Genomic DNA, 19,408 nt, shown 5'->3' on the forward strand with positions numbered 1-19,408 from the left:
ATGAAAGTGGTTTCTAGAGAAGGAATCTGCTTCTGGTGAAGATGCTGTGAACATTGTTGAAATGACAAAAAGGATTTAGAATACTATGTAAACTTATTTGATAAAGCAGCTGCAGGGTTTGAGAGGATTGACTCCAAGTTTTAAAGTTCTACTGTGGGCAAATTGCTATCGAATAGCATGGCACGCTGCAGAGAAATCTTTTGTGAAAGGAAGAGTCAGCTGATGTGGCCCACTTCAGAGTGGTCTTATTTTAAGAAACTGCCACAGCCACCCTAACCTTCAGCAACCACTACCCTCATAAGTCAGTAGCCATCAACATTGAGACAAGACCCTCCACCAGCTAAAAGATTACAACTTTTTTTTTTTTTTTAAGACGGAGATCTCAACTCACTGCAAACTTTGCCTCCCAGATTCAAGTGATTCTCCCGCCTCAGCCTCCCGAGCAGCTGGGACCACAGGCGCGCACCACCTCGCCCAGACAATTTTTGCATTTTTAGTAGAGACGGGGTTTCACCATGTTGGCCAGGATGGGTCTCAATCTCTTGACCTTGTGATCCACCTGCCTCCGCCTCCCAAAGTGCTGGGATTACGGGTGTGAGCCACCGCACCCAGCCCAACAACTTTTTTTTAATAATCATCTTAGGCTCAGATGATCATTAGCATTTTTTAGGAAGAAGTTATTTTTAAAATTAAGGTATGTACTTTTTTAGACATACTGCTATTGTACACTTAGACTACAGTATAGTGTAAACATAGCTTTTATATGCACTAGAAAACCAAAAAATGTGTGCGGCTTGCTTTATTGTGATATTCACCTTACTGAGGTGGCCTGAAATCAACCCTACAATACCTCCATGGTATGCTTGTATTATTTTTGTACCTTCATTTGAATCTATAACTATCTCAAAGTTGGCACTATGGAAAGGGAGAGGATGAGGGCTGTAAACATTACTGATTTATTTGGGGTCAGGAAGAAAGTAGACTCGAAACTAACATCTTGCAAAAATAATGTTATTATATCTTATACCATATCAGTCTTCAGTGAGTAGAAAGCCAGGACACCACTTTCTCCTTAGAGCTCATTGTCATTGGCAAATATAATGAAGGTTGGTGGGCAGAATTCTGGGTTCAAATCTCAGCTCTGTCGCATGTGGCTGTGTGGCAGGAGGCAAGTGGCCCCTGCAAGTTGCTGGGCATTTTCTCATCTGTAAAATGCGGAAGATGGTACCAACCTCCCCGCATGCCATGGAGATCAAGTGATAGTATGTATAATACATACATTAGGCTGGCCCAGAAGAGTGATTAACAAGCCTTAATCCATTAAAAGAAGGATCAAAAACTGTGGCCCTTGAGCCAAATCTGGCCATGTCCTTCTTTTCCATATTGCCTGTATGCCTGTGTGGCATATGCCACAACCGCAGAACTGAGTAGTTGCAAAAGAGATCATATGGCCTGCAAAGCCAAAAAAAATTTGCTGTTTCACCCTTTACTGAAAAAGTTTGCTAACCCCTGCATTTAAAAATGCCTTACCAGGCGGGATGCAGTGACTCATGCCTATAATCCCAGCACTTTGGGAGGTGGAGGCAGGCAGGTTGCATGAGTTCAGGAGTTCGAGACCAGCCTGGGCAACACAGAGAAACCCCATCTCAAAAAAAAAAAAAAAAGCCTTACCGGTTCACCAAAGAAAAAGAAAATGCCTTATTATATCTAAATGACCATATTATATCTAAATGACCTTTGACAAAGAGGCAAAAGCACTTCAATGGAGGAATGATAAGCTTTTCAATAAATGGTACTGGAGCAATTGGACATCCATAAACAATAACAACGACAAAAGAACCTCAACCTAAACTTCACACCTTATACAAAAATTAATTCAAAAGGGATCACATACTTAAATGTAAACAGTAAACTATAAATCTTTTAGAAAAAATATTGCCAGGCATGGTTGGCTCACGCCTATAATCCCAGCACTTTGGGAGGCTGAGGTGGGTGGATCACTTGAGGTCAGGAATTCAAGACCAGCCTGGCCAACATGGTGAAACCTCGTCTCTACTAAAAATACAAAAATTAGCCGGGTGTGGTGGCACATGCTTGTAATCCCACCTACTTGGGAGGCTGAGGTGGGAGAATCGCTTGAACCCGGGAGGTGAAGGTTGCAGTGAGCCAAGATTGCACCACTGCACTCTAGCCTGGACGACAGACTGATACTCCATCTCAAAAAAAAAAAAAAAAAGAAAAAGAAAAAATATAAGAGAAATTCTCCAGGATTTAGACCTAGGCAAAGAGTTTTTAGACTTGACACCAAAAGCATGACACACAGAAGGAAAAATTAACTGGAATTCATCAAAATTAAAAACTTTTGCTTTGCAAAAGACCTCTTTAAGAAGATGAGAAGACAAGCTACAGAGTGAGAGAAAATGTTTGCAAAACAGATGTCCACCAAAGGACTAGTACCTAGACCAGATAAGGAAATTTCCAAACTCAGCTGAAGACAGGAAGCAATCCAGTTAGAAAATGGGAAGGACATGAACAGATATTTCACCAAAAAGGATATATAGATGGTAAGTAAACACGTAAAAAGGTGTTCAATGTCATTAAGCCAGCATGAAAATCCAAGTTGAACTCACAATAAGATATCACCACACACTTGTCAAAATGGCTAAAATAAAAAATAGTGACACCACCAAATTCTGGCAAAGATGTGGAGAAACTGGATCACTCATACATTGCTGATGGAAATATAAAATGGTACCTACGGCCATACTGGAAAACGTTTTGGCAATTTCTTATCAAACTTAACTTGCAGTTACCAGAAGACCCAGCAATTGCATTTGTGGGCATTTATCTCAGAGAAATGAGGACTTACGTTCACACAAATGTTCACAGCAGCATTGTTCATAATAGCCCCAAACTGGAAATAATCCAGATGTCTTACAGGGGTGAATAGATCAACAAATTGCAGATACAGCCCCCTCTGTACTTCCTGGGTATCCCCACTTATGGGAGGGTTCTTCCTAGTTTAAAGGACATCTCCATCCATTGAAACAGGAGACTGACATGGATAACTTTTCATTTCCAGTTCCATACAACTATCCCGCTGATTCTTTCTTCAAAGAAGCAAACCCTCCTTTGCTTTTTATATTTTCTTCACACATGGAAATGGGGGATGTGGAGGGCCTTGCACAGAGTAAGCACTCAATATTTGTTGAATACATGCATGAGGAAGAAAGGAAGCTTTTTAAGGAAGCTTCATGAAAATGTAATGCATTATGGGCCATTGTCATGATTTATAATCGGAGTTCCTTTCCTTCAGCAAAAAATATACGTGAAGAGAGGGTGAAAGAGAAGAAAAGAAGGAGAGAGGCAGTGGGGGAGGGAGGGAGAAGAGAAAACAGAAAGCAAAAGACAAAAATACCATTGATTAAACTTTTCTTTTGTTATCTTTCCTTTCTTGGCAATAGATGTTTATTCAGATTTTTAAAATGTGCCTCCTTGACCTTCTTCCTAAAAAGAAGTCAGATGATGAACTATACCAGAAGATCCTTTCAAAACAAGAAAAAGTAAGTCTTCAACCTATGTTTCAAGGTAACTTAAAAATAGTTTATTATAATATATACAACTTATGATGCAAAAATTTTTTTCTTTCATGTATAAAATAGCTTATTACAATATATACTTTTCAACACAGTATAGTGAAATATAAAAGTATGTATACAAATATTTAAAAAGTGTATTATTAAAATTTGGAATACTATTTATAGCAAAGAGAATAATATTGGTCATATCTACTACTCAAAGACGGTCACTGTTAATGTTTTTTTCTGCACACATTTGGGATATTTTTAAAGACATAATTTGTTTATTGGTTATAGCTATGTATACTACTTTGTATTCTATTCTCAGTCTTTTATGGAAAGTTTATTTTGTCTCAGGCGCAGCAAAGAGTCAGGGCTTGGAGTCAGACTGGTTGAGGTTGGTATCCTGGCTTTATCTTTTACAAGCTCTCAGAATCGTAGTTTCCTTTTTGTATAGTGAGATAATTCCTGTTCTGCGAGAGTGCAGAAAGGATAAGAGAGATGTGTATGATACACCTAGCAATGTCATAGTTGGCTGTGAATATGTGATGGCTGCTGTCATCCTCATTATCACAACCACCACCAAAATCATCATCATCTTCATTATCACCACCAGTTTTATTTTGTATCACCATCACCACCACTATTACTATCACAGTTCTCTTCTTCATCATGTCATTGTTGTCATCACCATAAACACCATCATCTTTGCTATTGTCACCACTGACATCATCATTCTTTGTCTTTACCACCATCATCATCATCCTCATGACCGCTGTCATCACCAACACCATCACCATCCTCATGTCCTCATTACCATCATCATGAGCATCATTTTTATCATTGTTGTAATTATTGGCATTCTCATTACTACCATCACCGCCATCATCATCTTCATTACCACCATAATCATCATCACCATCCTTATTGCCATCACCACCACCAATGTTGCAGGGCAGGCAAGCTCCAGAATAGGGTTTAGCCTGGGAGGGTACTTGGCTTCACCTAGGAAGGAATTCAAGGGAGAGCCAGTGGTGTTAGACAGTAGTGTTTTAGTGAATGGTGCCACTCCTTGCGGAGCAGGGCTAACCCGTAGGCAGTGTGCCCAGAGTTGGTAACATATGGATGCTTGGCAACTGTATTTATACTCATGTAAACCCACTTTCAATTACATGCAAATGAAAGGGCAGTTCATTGCAAATTGAGGGACAGGTTATTTAGAACTTTCTAAAAAGGGGACAGTAACTTCTGGGTTGTTGCCATGGAAAAGGGTGGTAACTTTTGGGTTGTTGACATGGCATTTGTAATCTGTGGTTGTGCTGGTGGGAGTGTCTTATGCTAATGAGCAATGAGGGCAGCAAGGGATCACTTTCATCACCATCCACTGGTTCCTGCCGGTTTCTTCACTTTATCCTGTCTGGACCAGATCCCATTTTGATCAGCAGGGTTGTGATCAGAAAACAAGTCCTGCCAGTCTCCTACCTCACCTTATCCTCACCATCATTGTCATCATTATTCTCGTTACTACTATCACCAGCCTCTTATTCATCATCCCCTGCCATCATTTTCATTATCATCATCATTGTTATTGTCATCATTTTCATTACTGCCATCGTCATCGCATCATTGTTGTGATAGTCTTCATCAGCACCACCATCATCACCATCTTCATCAGCACCACCATCACCACCTTTATCATCTTTCCTGCTACCTCTACCTTCACCTTCATTAGAGTCCTCATTGTCATCGTCATCGTCCTTGTTCCTACCACTGTGAGATCTGGGGGTTTGGGAAGGAATGTTTCTTCTTTACTCCACTGGATTCCATGAGGAAGGATGACTCACTGCATCCCAGGAAGGAGGAAGGACATCATCATCTTCACTGTCATCCTCAGTATCACCACCATGGTCATGGTCCTCAGGCAGTGCACGTCGTGCTTGACATACATTATTTCATTTAATAGTTATGACAGCCCTGTGAGTGGCCATTGTTATTTTTGTTTTACAGCTGAAGAAACTGAGACTCCATAAGTTCAAATGACTTTCCAATGGCAAAAATGATAATGATGATGATGACATTTATAATGGTATTAGTAATAATGAAACAATACTGTCTGTTATAATAGAAAGAATAAGAGCCTTGGAGTCTGCAGACCTCAGATCAAATTCCATCTCTACGAGTTAAACAAGGCTGTCTGAACTTAAGCAAGCATGTTAATTATAATAGTGGCTACTATTTGTTGAGATAGGCTAGCCAAGTGATTTAAATGCATAATTTCATTTAACACTTGGAATGACCTTAAAACTTTCAGAAGAGGACAAGGAGTGCCCAGAATTTGGAAGAGTAAGGACAAGCCTGGCACTGCCCCTTCCTGCCTGGGCATCTTTGGACAAACTATCTTACCTTCCATAAACCAGCTTTCTCACCTGGAAATGGGTCATAATTTCTCTTTCACAGAGATGCCGTGAGGATTAGAAATCACATATGGCCTCAGCTTGGGTCTTCAATAGTAGTTTATATCAATGTTATTTTTCCTAGTGAACCTTGACCCATGCCACACTGTTGGCTATGTGACAATGAATATAGAGAAAATAGAACTGCCTCCCACACACTATCTTGGGGTTTGTGAGTCTATACTTAGGACTCACCTTTTCCTTCCTGAGTTCAGAATCATTTGAGAGAGTCAGGAGGACAGATATAGAAATGTAGCTTTGTTACTGATTAGAGGCCAGCTTGGACGATGTGGCTTACATGCACAGCTATCATGGCTTCCTAATACTGAATCCCAGAATTCACTCAATTGCCTAGCTAGTCACGGGCAATGCTGGGCCACCTCAGGCTTCCCCACACAGAAACAGGGCCTTGGCTACCCAGCTCACTCTAGGCTGATATCACACCAGAGCAATGGCCTCCCCTGATTGGCCCATCACAAACAGGAAGAGGCTGGGCAAGTTTCTGGCCTTTAAACCAACCAATCAAATACACACCACTTCCTGCCCTGGGGTGTTGTTCTTTCCCAGGAAAACCAGAAGAGGAGCAAAGAAACATTCCTTCCCAACCCACTGGATGTCATGATATTTTCCAGGACTTCATAATGATTGAAAGATACTATTTTATTGATTTTTAAAGTATGGTCTAGTTTTTTTTTTTTTTTTGAGGGAGGATATAGAGGAAAATAATCCATTATTCTTGAGGCTCTATGTTTAATGAGAAAATGGGTCAAACCTCATGTACAACAACCCCCAGAGCATTTAACTATTGTTTAAAAATATTTTGTGAAATTTGAAAAATAAAAGCATTTATTTTTCTAGAATTTAAGACACGCTAAACTTTTTCTTTGTTTATTTGCTTTCTTTTTTCTTCTTCTTCTTCAGGATTTGGAGGAACTAGAAAAGGGACTTCAGGTCAAACTGTCAAACACAGAAATGTCGGGGGCTGGTGACTCTGAGTACATCACCCTGGCTGATGTGGAAAAGAAGGAGAGAGAATACTCTGAACAGCTAATCGATAATGTGCGTGCCAGACTTTCTTTCCTGTACACAAATTTTGGTTCCTAAAACAGTTAAATTGGCTACATTAGAGAGATGATAGTTAGAAGTGTGCCTAATACTTGAATTCCCCTATCGCATTCTGCCCTAGAGGCAGGATCCAGTTTCTGATGCTAAGTGATAGGGAAGAAGTAATTAAGCAGCAAAGATTCACAAAGGGAGGTTTATTTTTTATATCATGAATTATCCTCATTTAAATTTCAGATTGGTCTTTTTATCATTCAAAGCAAAGGTTGCTATAACCCTTGATGTCATCACTGCCCTTTGGAATAGAGTAGAAGAAAGCTGCTAGGCATCACTCGTGAAAGCAAGTTTTAAATTCCAGACAGAATGGCTTCTCTGAAACATCGTTTTTCTTTTCTTTTGGGTTCCACCACCCCCTGTTCATATATTATGTATTAAACAAACATGTCCTTGGCACTTGCTCTTCACCAGGGATTGTGCTGGGCACTGGGGACTCAAAAATCATTTAGACATGGCCCTGCCTGAGAGAGGCCAGGAGAGACAAACAGGTGAACAGATGAGGGCTTCACAGAGTGACACATCTTGTGATAGAAGGAAGCACAGGAGAAGGCCCGAGGCAGGCACAGTGGAGGGAAGAGTTCATTTTACCCCAGGCTTAGGAAAGCCTCCGTAGAAGAAGGGACCATGGAGAGGCTGGCCGGGAGAAGTGTGGGTGCTGGCCAGTGGTGGGGCAGAGATGGGAGCTAAAGAGGGCTGAGAGCAAGTCGAGGTAAGGTAAAGCCAGAGGGATCTGGCCAGAGGGCTTGTTTGTGTCTTAAGCCAGCGAGATGGGAGTGTCTATTGCCAGCGAGGTGGGAGTCACTGAAGCTTTGAAGCAGGGGGTGGCTGGCTTCAGCTTCTGCTTTAGAAGGGCTGCCCAGGCACTGAGTGGAGGGTGGTGAAGAGCTACTGGGCTAATCCAGCAGGAACTTTATTAAGGCAACTGCAGTAGGATGGAGAGGTGAGGAAACGTGTGAGAGAAGCTGTGGTGGTCTACCATGGGGCGGCAGGTGGGGAGGAGGAGGGGGTCCAGGGTCAGTGCTGCTGAAATAAGCGCCCCAGAGCAAGATGCTCATGGGAGGGAGGGAGCCAATGCTCCTGTCCTCTGAATAGGTCCAATATTGAGAGGAGAGGCTTGGAGATGGAGGGTCTCCATGAGAGCCCAGGTTAGAGGACTTTGAGGGCCAGAATGTTCTTAGAACTGTGGGCCAGGATGCTAAGGAAGAGGGCCAGCCTGGATTCCGGTGGTCCACAGAACCCCCAACGCTGTGTGCAGTATCTTGTCCATGTCTGCCTTTCTCAGGGACAGGGTTCAGAATTTTCATAAGATTCTCCAAAGTATTGGTGACCTCCAAAAATGGTGACCTCTGGCCTAGAAATGGTGTGTAAAATGGGAAGAGAAAAGAGCTTTGGTGCCAAATCCTGGATCCTGCCCATATTTAAGGAGGAGCGGATGAGAAGAATTGGGACAAGAAAGCAGAGGAGGAATTGGATGGGCTTTGCAGAAGCAGGAGAAAATCATGTCATGGACGCCAAGAGAATCAGGAGTTTGTAAGCAGAGCGGGCTGTGTAGAGTTGGCAGGTGACAGTCTGCAGTCACGTGGCAGGTGGAAGGCAGGTCATCTGATGGCTCCAAGGGGAAGAGCAGGGTGAGAGCCTGAGGGTGTCAGGCAGGTTTGAGGTCCCTCCTGGCAGGGATGAGAGGAGGAGCAGCATGTATGGGGTTTACTGGGAGGCAATGGGGCCCTGAGATGGGGAGCCGCATTGATGAGGGGTGTTCATCTGGGTGCAGGCTTCCTCCTGGCAGAGCCAGACCGACACCGCAGTTGAGGCTGACAGAGTTTCATGATCTTGAGTCACAGCAACAAAATCATGGGTTTCTGGTGACACTAACCCCTGCCCCCTCCCATGCCCAGTCCAGCCAGAAGTGTCCATTTCAGCCTCTCAGAGGCTGAGCCAAGATGGAGGCAACCTCAGCCGTGGAGTTAAATGGACCTGAACCAAATCCGGGCTTTCACTGGGTCCATGACCTCTGACAAGTGACCTAACTCCCCCGAGCCTGTTCCTACACCTCTAGATACATACTTTATCATGATATCAAATGTGTGAAGCACAGAGCCTGGCGAACAGCCTGTGGGCCATGAGGGAAAGTTGCTCCGATTCCTAGTGTCATTGTCCTTAGAGCTCTGACTGGCTGTGATGACTCAATTAAACCTCCTGCATTCTAAGCCACTTGGGAATTCCCAGCTCTGCTCCTGATAAAATGAGGGGGAGGGAAGATTTTAAAGCAAAATGTTTTCATGGTCAGCATCCTCTCTGCCATATTAAGCTTTTGTACTTTTAGGACAATAACTAATATTTAAACATCTGTTTATGCTTTTACTTCCAGGAAGTATTTAATCCCATTTAAAATTGCCAAAGCTTCCATGAGCACATTGTCACATTTCATCGGCCCCTAGGTAGCTGTAATGACCTGTGCAAGAGTCTGTAGGCTGGACAAGCTACTGCTTTCTTTCCTTAGCAGCAGTGCTCTCGTGTCTGCTGAAACACCATTGCAAAACTGACTGACACTGGAACCAGACAATGGAACCAGAAAGAACTTCACTGTAGAACGTGATTGTTGCCAAGATAAACTCACTGAAACTGTAGAATTGTTTAGAATCTTTGTTTGTGATAGGGAGTGAATTGTAATTCCCGAGCACGCACCGTTTGGCTTTCTTAAGTAAGTTTTTCACCTCACTTCTTGCTGCTTGTGCTCATTTCACAGATGGAAGCTTTCTGGAAACAGATGGCAAATATCCAGCACTTTCTTGTGGACCAGTTTAAGTGTTCCAGCTCCAAAGCCCGACAGCTGATGATGACTCTGACGGAAAGAATGATTGCAGCCGAAGGGCTATTGTGCGATTCTCAGGAGCTGCAGGCTCTGGTAATGCTGGAGGGGGCGGGAGGGAACATAAAGATATTCAGACTAGAGATATGGAATCCTGAGGCTTGACATCCTTAAATCTAACAGATTCATGTTGTAGCTGGTTATATAGAGCCTCAGGGAAAAAAAAACCAACAACAACAGTAAATTCATTCATCCATTTATTTATTTATCCATCCATCCACCCATCCATCCACCCATTGACCCTTCCATCCATCCATCCATCTACCCATCCATCCATCTGCCCTCCCACCCATTTATCCATCCATCCATCCACCCATCCATCCATCCATCCACCCATCCATCCACCCACCCATCCATCCATCTGCCCTCCCACCCATTTATCCATCCATCCATCCCTCCATCCATCCATCCACCCACCCATCCATCCACCCGTCCACCCATCCACCCACCCACCCATCCACCCATCAATCCACCCATCCATCCATTTACTCATCCATCCATCCATCCACCCATCCATCCATCCATCCATCCATCCGTCTATCCAATGAGTGAAGGCTCTGGCCAGCTCAGTATTACTGGAGCATAGAACACTGGTCCTAAACCTGAAATTACACATTGAAATTATCTGGGAGCTTTAAAAAGTACTGATTCTTGGGCCCCAGATGGGTCTCCATCCCAGAGTTTCTGACTTAATCAGATTGGGGTGCAACCTGGCTGGGCATTGGGGTTTTTAGAGCTCCCCAATGACGATGGTGGGAGCTGGGGTTGACGCCCACTGGTGTAGACAGAGCATTGATTGACTTTCCTGATTGCCCTGTTTTGCCTGCAGAGTTCTTTAACAATGCCTTTTCCTGGCCTTCACTCTGAGGTTCTAATATGATTGGTCTGGAGTGGAGGCCCTGGCATTGTGGGTTTTAAAACTCCCTGAACTATTCTGACGGGAGGCCAGGGATACAAACCCCTGGTGCATGGGTGTCCAACCTTTTGGCTTCCCTGGGCCACATTGGAAGAAGAAGAATTGTCTTAGGCCACACATAAAATACATTAACACTAACGATAGCTGATGAGCGGAAAAAAAAAAAAAAAAAAAGGTCCCTCCTTATTTTTGTGAAGCCTGCCAACCACAGATAAGCAAAAAAGTCCTCACATTCAAAGGGTTGGACACCCGTGGGAGAGAAATCTGCGAATCCAGCTTTGACTCTGGGCTCTGTTGTTTGGAGCTGTGTGATCTTGAACACATTACTTAACCTCTCTGCGCGTCTGTTCCTCTATTTATAAAATAATAGTGCTAAGAGTTGCCACAGACAGGGCCTGGCTAGATGCTGAGTGACTCCTAACACCCCAGTCACCATTGGGTTCCTCTTGGTACACATTGGGCTCATCCTGTGTGCGCCAGTGTGTACTAGGGCCAGGGAACGAGCCCTCTGATGCTGCCCTGCACCCATTTCCCCGTCCTGTGCACCAGCCCGTGTGGCAGCTCGGCTCAGAACCCTGCAGTGGCCACCCTGCCCTCAGCACAGACTCAGCTCCTCAGACCCGTGGGAAAGCCAAGCCTCAACGGATCTTTGCCTCCCCTTGCACACCACATGCCTCTCCCAATCCGCTCTGCTCCTCCAGGTGTGATCCACAGACCACAGCATCGGCAACACTGGGAGCTGGTTAGAGTGCAGAATCCTGTCCTCCACCCTTCCCAAGCAGGATCTGCACTTTAACAAGACCCCCACATCCACACAGTTGTTTGAGAACTTCATGTGCTTTTTCTCGGTATATACACACATGGCCTTTTTTTTCTGTCAACACTGCCGAAAGATAGGTATGGAAGATATTTTATTCACAGCACGCAGATAAGGAGCCCACTCAGTGATCCACCTAAGATCCCCGTCCTCTCTAATGACATCGCTGAGCCTGGGCCTGAAGCTTCCTGGTTTGCTGCCCAAGCCCCTTTGAATTGGATTTCAGTTTGATAAGGCTGCTGACTCATTAATGCTCTGCAAAGGTGAAAGACTTTTCTTCCTATATTTTTTTCTTTTGCTATCAGCAGGATATTGATGCAGAAAAAAGAAAATACATCCTTAGCTGACTCTGGCCAGAGTATCAGCCAATAACTTCCAAATAGGAAGAAGGAAAGGGATCCTCCAGTTTAACAGCATGACTGTCCTTCAGCCAATGTTTAATGAGCACCTACTGTGTAGCACATGCTGTTCATGGAAACCATATTGCAGAGGTTAGGAATGCAGGCTCAGGGAAGAAACTGGAGCTCCCACTGCAGTCTTGCCACTCGTTAGCTGTGTGATCTTGGGCAGATAATTTAACCTCTCTGTGATTTGGTTTCATTTTCTGTGAAATGGGGGCTATGATAGCACCTGCTCTCTCACAGGGTAGTTGAGGGTGTTAAAGACTTGGCAGTATGTAAAGTTTTTAGAGCAGAGCCCGGCACGTAGGAAGCATTCAGTACTTGTTAGTCATTAGAGTCCTGCAGGCCACATGTCAGCAGGAGAAATAGACAGCAAAAAATTACTGTAATGATGCATGGACAGGGCTACACAGTCTATGTTTGTATAGAAGAGGGATGGATTCACTATGCCTGCATACCGGGCACCAAAGGGAAAAAAGATGGCTTCCGTATCTCAGAACACAGAAGAGTTGGAATTCCCAGGGCGGCATCCCATCTTTCTGGCCTGGGCATTTGGAGCTGAAATGTGCATCTGTAAATATTAAAACTGGAAGAGCCCTTCAAAGGGACCCTGACGGTCATCAGATTCAGTTTCTTGAGACTCACAGGAAAAAAAACAGCTGCCAAGACAGATGGGACTGGCTGTAGATAATGGTGAAAACAGCTGACACTCAGGGAGGCTCACTGTTCCCTGGCCGTTGTTCTCAATGCTTCACGTATTTTGACTTACTTAATCCTCATGTCAAATCTGTGTGGCAAGGGTCAGGTGAGGAGCTTGTGCTCAGGTCCTGGGAGCCAAGTCTGAGCCTGGCACTGTTGACTCAGCCACACTCAGAGCACATCAGGGCCCCCTTCCCCCATTCCACATCCCTCTTCTCACGCCACTCTCTCCACTTCCATCCTCCCTCCAATATAAGCACATCGATTGCACCACCACTGCCGAATCCAGCCAGCCTGTGTTGGGTTCTCAACATGCTCTTTAGAGGTGGCCAGAGCCGCCCTTCCCGCGGCCCACCTGGCACCTCCGCTTATCCTCTTGCACCCTCTAGGGTTCACGGGCTGCTGGAATGAGCCTCGCCGTCCTTGTCCATCGCTGGGGGATGTTCTTGCCCTAGTCTTGTGTTGTGGGAACAGAGGCCAGTGCAGCTCAGCGCACAGTGTGGCCATGGCTGGTCAAGGGGACGTGGGCGACTCAGGCCTGGCCCCTGTCTTCAAGGGCTCTCAGTCCAGGCTGGGACTGCCCCTCACAATCACCTCCTCGAAGACAGGAGCCCTGGGGCAGTGGAGAACAGAGTAGGGGACCAGTGAGGGTGGGGACAAGCAGGGAAGGACCACAGAACCCATGAGGACATAGAAGGACCTGGCTGGGCAGGGGAGTGAGAGGAGGCAGTGAGGGTGTTCCAGGAGGAAGGCCCCGCATGTGCAGAGGCTGGGCAGCCGGGACCAGGCAGGTGTGCAGGACAGGGCCCCACAGAACTTCCTGCACCATGCCTGGGGTGCTGGACTTGATCTCAGGGCAGCAACAGGAGGGTTTGGGGCCATGGCTGACAGAACCATCAGCATCTCTGAAAGGTCCGCTGTTCTGTGAGGTGGGGTTAGAGCATGGGGCAGAGATGGGAGGCTGGGGAGCAGGACTGGCCTGTGGCCTCGGCCCAGCACAGAGGTGCCTAGGCCTGAGCTGGGCGTGGCTGGGAGTGGGGGGTGCAGAGTCTGTGCCGAGGGAGATGCCAACGTCCGCCGTCCGCTCCTCCTTTCCCCCTTACTCTCATTCCACAAGCAGCTGCTCTCAGGTGTGCAGGGCCCTTGGCTGCCTCCGGTTGACATTTCCCCCTGTCTTTTCTGAGAGTCCCTGAAATGATGAGGTGGGGCTGGGGAGGGCCTTCTGTAGAATCTGACTGCGGGGAGTCGTGTTGGAAGCCAATCATTCCCCTGAAAATCTCGGCCGTCCTCAGCAGTCAGGCTCTCTGGGGCTCTAACAAAAGCCAGGAACTGCTGGCACTTTGCATTTCCTCCACAGCCCTGTGGGGGCCACAGGGCCAGATTGGCCGGGGGAGATGACTATAAGCCAGGTGGCTTTTCCTCCTTGACCGTTTGTAAATCTGGATTCCCTCCTAGGAGGGTGGCCCTCTGGGGAGCGCTACTGGTGACTAAGTGCCTACATGCTAAGCTGCGTCAGCCTCCCCGCACCCTAGGAGAGACACTTAATCCCCACCTCGGGGGCAGACGCAGATCTCGCTCATGAAGGAGAGGGGGAGTTCATCCCTCTGAGCTCCGCTCTCCCAGGCAGTGCCATTAGTTAATGACCCTGGTGGCTTCTTCTCAGCTGTTAATTAACATGCCCTGGTGGTTCCCAGGACACCCCAGCTATGGTCCTGTGTGTTTCTTTTTGCAGGACGCCCTGGAGAGGACGATGGGGCGGGCGCACATGGCAAAAGTGATTGAGTTTCTGAAGCTGCAAGTCCAGGAGGAGACCAGGTGCCGGCTGGCTGCCATCTCCCACGGCCTGGAGCTGCTGGCTGGTGAGGGGAAGCTGTCCGGGCGGCAGAAGGAGGAGCTGCTCACGCAGCAGCACAAGGCCTTCTGGCAGGAGGCAGAGCGCTTCAGCCGGGGTGAGCCGTGGGCATGGGTGCCGCCGTCCACAACACTGGCCTTCTGGGTCCCTGGGGCTGTGCAGTGAGAGGGCTGGCAGCCTGGGGCAGTGTGCCCATGATGCCGGGCACAGGCTGCCTTTCTGCTTCTGCCCTAGGGACTGGGTCACTGGGCTGCTCTCTGGGGCTCTCTTCCCTTCTCTGTACAGCAGAGTCCATGAGGGCCACTGCCCAGGGCAGGGGTCACCTGCTGCACTCACTCACCAGGGATTCCGGCTGATTGAGTCCCCACGTCCTGCAGCAAAGCCACCAGGAACTGCAGAGGGACAGAGGAGGGTGAAGGGTCTCACTAGAAATTTACACAAAGTGGTCCCTGTCGCCCAGCGGCAGCTCATGGTCATGCTGGAGTCATGTGGCCCTGCTCAGCGGCAGAGTGGGTGAGGGTGGGCCATGGTCCAGCATGTGGGGCAGGAAGGGGAGCCGTGCATGTGTCCCACACATGCTCCTGCCCCAAGGCTGACCCTGGGGTGGGGGTGGGGCAAGGCTCAAGACGTGGAGGCATCTGGGCTTAGCTGAGGTCACACTACTAGTGGGACCTACAGAAAAACCCAGGTGTGTCACCAGCAGGGCGGGCACCATCTCTGCAGCCGACACCAGCTTCCCCAACCTCCAGACAGGAGAAAGCATGAGGGTCCCCACTGAAATTCTGGCTCACAGAGTCACCTCCTATGCTGTGGCTTTTTTCAATCCCAGAGTTTGTCCAGCGAGGCAAAGACCTGGTCACGGCGTCTCTGGCTCACCAGGTGGAGGGAACGGCAAAACTCACGCTGGCCCAAGAGGAGGAACAGAGAAGCTTCCTGGCTGAGGCCCAGCCGACTGCTGACCCGGAAAAGTTTCTCGAGGTGACTCACATCCCCAGCCTCTGCACATGTGGGTGAGCCAGTTGTAGCTCTGTTCCCGTGACTGAGCACGGGACGCCGGAGGTATTCATCAGGCATGAGGTTATCTGCCTACTTCCCATGTGTCAGCCGAGTGACCGAATCTCAGTCCCTTAGCCCCTACATCCCTAGGGTCCTAGTGGACTGTAAGCTGGTGATAAGAGTTGTGCTGCCCTCACTGGGCTGCTGAGAAGAGGAGGGGGTAGGATCCGTAGAGAGCTTGGCAGAGTGCAGACGCATGGCAGGAGCACACAGATGGTGGCAATGGCGTGAAGGGAGCAATGTGTGGCCCAGAGGGGACAAGCATGTCCCGGAGAGTAAGGCAGGCTCACACACCCAGGGACAGGGCCCTTGTGGGTCGGCTGCAAGTCCAGGAGAAGGAAGGGAGTTCCCAGCCTTGCATGTGGGGTTGAGTGGTCAGGGCCAGGAGGTGGCCAAGGTCAGAGGTACCCTTGGTCTTGCCTGAGAAGGGGACAAGAAGACCTGAAGGAGGACAAAAAGCAAGATGTCACCCTCCAAGGAAAAGGAGTCAGCTGGCCCCAGTGCAGGCTCTAAGGACCTGGACTCGCCAGTTCTCAGAGAGACCACCGAGCTCTGGTTTCGCTCTGCTTGCTTTCACTAGTAATGGGCAGTGGGGCTGGGAGAGGACCAGCTTGTCCGTAACCGTCTTGCAGGCTGGTTAAGCATTGGGCGCTGAGGCCAGCCACACTTGGGTTTGGGTGCTGACTCTGCCACTAAATAGCTGGGTGACCTTGGGCATGTTGCTTACCCTCTGGCCCTCAGCTTCCACATCTGTGAAATGGGCATAATGGCACCTATATCACAGCATTGTTAGGATTCAGTGAGACCAAGGAAGGGGCAGCCCCAGCCTCACTGTTTGCCTGGGTCCGCCTGCCCTCCGTCAACACTTGGTACAGCACATCTCAGTTCTGCCAAGGGGTGGGTGGCACCATGTCTGGGTCCAGGCTCAGCCCAGAATAGAGGCCCAGGGGCTCTCCCTGGGGGCCAAGCTGGTGGTGGTGGCACCACTGCAGTGAGAAGCCAATGGAGGGGTCCCCCGAGAACAGAGGACAGGCCTCTAGGTCCCTGGTCCAGCTGCCTCCCTCACCCAGGGGGCCTCTTCCAGGCCCATACTTGGAGCTTCTGCATTTGCCACAAAGGGGTAGGGTAGGTTTTTCTATCTTTGAGACCCATTTGAAATAAGAGGAAGATAAGGCTATTCAGCTCCTCGTTATTTGGATATTTCTGGGCCCCTGTCCTTGATGTCACAGAGCCCAGTGTGAGTCCAGAGTGTGGAGACAGTGCCTGGGTGACCTTGGTGTCCCAGGGCCTCGGTACAGTCCTCGGAACGCCTCAGCGCTGGCGTTCAGGACACGTGGGACGCAGGCAGGGAAGGGTGAATGAGCGCATGCGTGCCTGAATGAACCAGGACATGGACAAATGGGCAAACGAGCGAATGAAGGAGGATGGAATGGGTGGGAGAATGAACGAACGACACCAGGCTCCCAGTACACACTCAGCACCCACCTTTTTCCAGTCCCGCCCTTCTCTCTCATCTCACCTCCTGCCCGTAGCATCACCAAAGATCTTAGGGGGTTTACCTCCTGGTCTCTGCTGCTGCTCGCTGAGCCTGGCTCCCCATCTTCCCTCCAAGGAGTCCTTCCTTGTCCTTAGAGACTCCATTGAAACATCTCCCCAACAGGGAATTTTCTCCTGCAACCCTTCCCTGAGAAGGGTCTGTTCCTCTGTCCTTCTGCCCCACCTCGCCCCTCGCTGATGCTCTGTTTAGGGCTGGCTGGGTCTCCCCCTGCTGATGCCCGGGTTAGCCCAGTCTCCTGCTGCTCTGCTGGGGTCCTCAGGGAAGGGCCTCCACCCCGTGGTCACAGTGGGGCCTGGCTGGTTGCTGACTGCACTGACCTCCAATCGCCAGTCTGTGTCACCCCTGCTGGGTTCCCATCAGTGGGTCTTCCATGGCCTGGGTGGTCAGAAAGTGATGTCTGGGTGGCTGCAGCCAGGACAGAGGAGTGACAGAAGTGGTCCAGTGGCCCCTCCTCATCCTGGCTTTAACAAAAGCGTGGTGGTTTGTGGTGTTTCCTGGAAATCGGATTTGCTGACCCTGGCATCAGCTGTGAAAGCCATGTGACAGCCCCATGCCTCAGTTTCCTTGTGTGTAATACAGGTGCCAACATCCTTCTTTCTAACCTGAGATGCAGGGGATGGTTGGAGAACCTTCTGGAAAAAAAAAAAAAAACCCTGCATGTTTCTACCAGACTCAGCTCTTGTTTTCCTCACAGGCTTTTCATGAGGTCCTGGAGAGGCAGAGGCTGATGCAGTGTGACCTGGAGGAAGAGGAGAATGTCAGAGCCACCGAGGCTGTGGTTGCACTCTGCCAGGTACATGGCCTCTGTGGGGACCAGCAGAGAAGCCCCAGGGTCTGTGTGTGTGCGAGAACCTCACATCCTCCTGGCTGGGGACCCCAGAGGTGGTTCAGGTCCAACCCCGCACTCATTGGCCGGTGATCCACGCAGGCTGTGTCCCCTCCATGCGATCCTCCTTGCCCACATCAGAAACCGAGGCAGTTGGCCTTGGTCCTCTCTGAGGCACCGTCCATTTTTGGGGTGCTGAGGATTCTTATCTCCACACATCCCTGTCAGCAAAGCTCTTTGGAAATCCGTTCTCCCCAGGTGAGAAATAGGCCCAGGGTTTCTGGGTGTCATCAGTGTAAAGTGGTGATGAAGAAGGGGTTCTGGGCTGAAATGGGGACGTCAGAGATCACATGCCACACCACCTCTTTCCCCTGTGCAACCGTGTGCAGGTCTGGGGTGGGGAGGTGAAGCTGGCCATGCTTGCCCTGCAGGGTGACTTTCAGAGAGCAGGAGAGGGCACCTGAGCCCTCTTTAGGGGCAGGAGTCACAGGATGCCATGCTGAGCCAGACAGAGCCCCTGCCTCAGGCAGCATCCTCAGTTGTTGGAAAGACAGGAGTGTGGACACCTGGCTATGAAGGAATCAACCAGTGGGTGTTGGGCAGCACTGGGAGGAGGAGAGGGCCTGGGTCTGTGTCCTGGCTCCCCGCTTCCTCACTGCGTGACCACAGGAGCATCACTTGGCCTCTAGCCCTCAGTTTCCCCATCTGTGAAATGGGGACAGTCATAATTCTTCTTCATGGTGTGCTAGGAGGACTGTGTTTGGGGACCCGAGACAGCAGCTGGCACTCGGAACACCCCAGGGCACGTTGTCTCCAGTGACAGCTTCCCTGCTTCTGAGTGCAGAGGAGAGGCAAGGGGCTCCTGGGTGAAGGTGACGTCAAGGACAGCAGCCTGTAGGAGGCATTGCTGAGCCAAGCATTGGATGAGACCAGGCCCAAGTGGACAAGGAGTCAGCGGGCATCCCCATCAGGGAGAAGCTCATGCAGTGGTGGGAAGTGCAACTCCTCACCCGGATGGGAGCTGCACTGGGGTCAGTCATGTCTCTGTTAACCTGCTAGGGCTGCCGTGGTGAATACCACTGACTGGTGGGTTAAACAACAGAAAAGCGTTCTCTCAAGGTTCTGGAGGCTGAAGCCCGAGATCACGGTGCCAACAGGATTGACTTCTGGTGAGGCCTCTCTTCCGGGCTTGCAGACAGCTGCCTTCCCGTTGCCTCCTCACACGGTTATTTCTCTGTGCTTGGAAGACTGAAGGGCAGGGGAG

At 48.8% G+C, this 19,408-nt stretch overlaps 1 protein-coding gene across 47 annotated transcripts in view, besides 1 other annotated feature; it reads left to right on the top strand.

Annotated features, from left to right (window-relative positions):
- Positions 1-19,408, top strand: part of EVC (EvC ciliary complex subunit 1) — a 117,857-nt gene that overhangs the window by 27,051 nt on the left and 71,398 nt on the right. For 45 of the 47 annotated variants that reach the window (XM_047449774.1, XM_047449769.1, XM_047449778.1 and 42 more), the window contains exons 6-11: positions 3,465-3,563; positions 6,953-7,090; positions 9,897-10,055; positions 14,585-14,801; positions 15,534-15,682; positions 18,013-18,111. In XM_047449774.1, the coding sequence (XP_047305730.1) occupies positions 3,465-3,563; positions 6,953-7,090; positions 9,897-10,055; positions 14,585-14,801; positions 15,534-15,682; positions 18,013-18,111 (861 nt within the window). Of the gene's footprint in view, positions 1-3,464; positions 3,564-3,689; positions 3,976-6,952; positions 7,091-9,896; positions 10,056-14,584; positions 14,802-15,533; positions 15,683-18,012; positions 18,112-19,408 lie in introns of those variants that run through there. The other 2 variants (XM_047449810.1, XM_047449808.1) reach the window with 2 other exon arrangements.
- Positions 14,693-15,648: an enhancer, noted in NCBI's record as "H3K27ac-H3K4me1 hESC enhancer chr4:5754671-5755626 (GRCh37/hg19 assembly coordinates)". NCBI's record gives its function as "activates a minimal SCP1, AML or CMV promoter by ChIP-STARR-seq in primed H9 embryonic stem cells {active_cell/tissue: H9 hESC(primed)}" and the evidence as "EXISTENCE:reporter gene assay evidence [ECO:0000049][PMID:30033119]".

Source organism: Homo sapiens, chromosome 4 (genome assembly GCF_000001405.40).
Source record: "Homo sapiens chromosome 4, GRCh38.p14 Primary Assembly".
In the NCBI taxonomy this organism is placed as follows: Eukaryota; Metazoa; Chordata; class Mammalia; order Primates; family Hominidae; genus Homo; species Homo sapiens.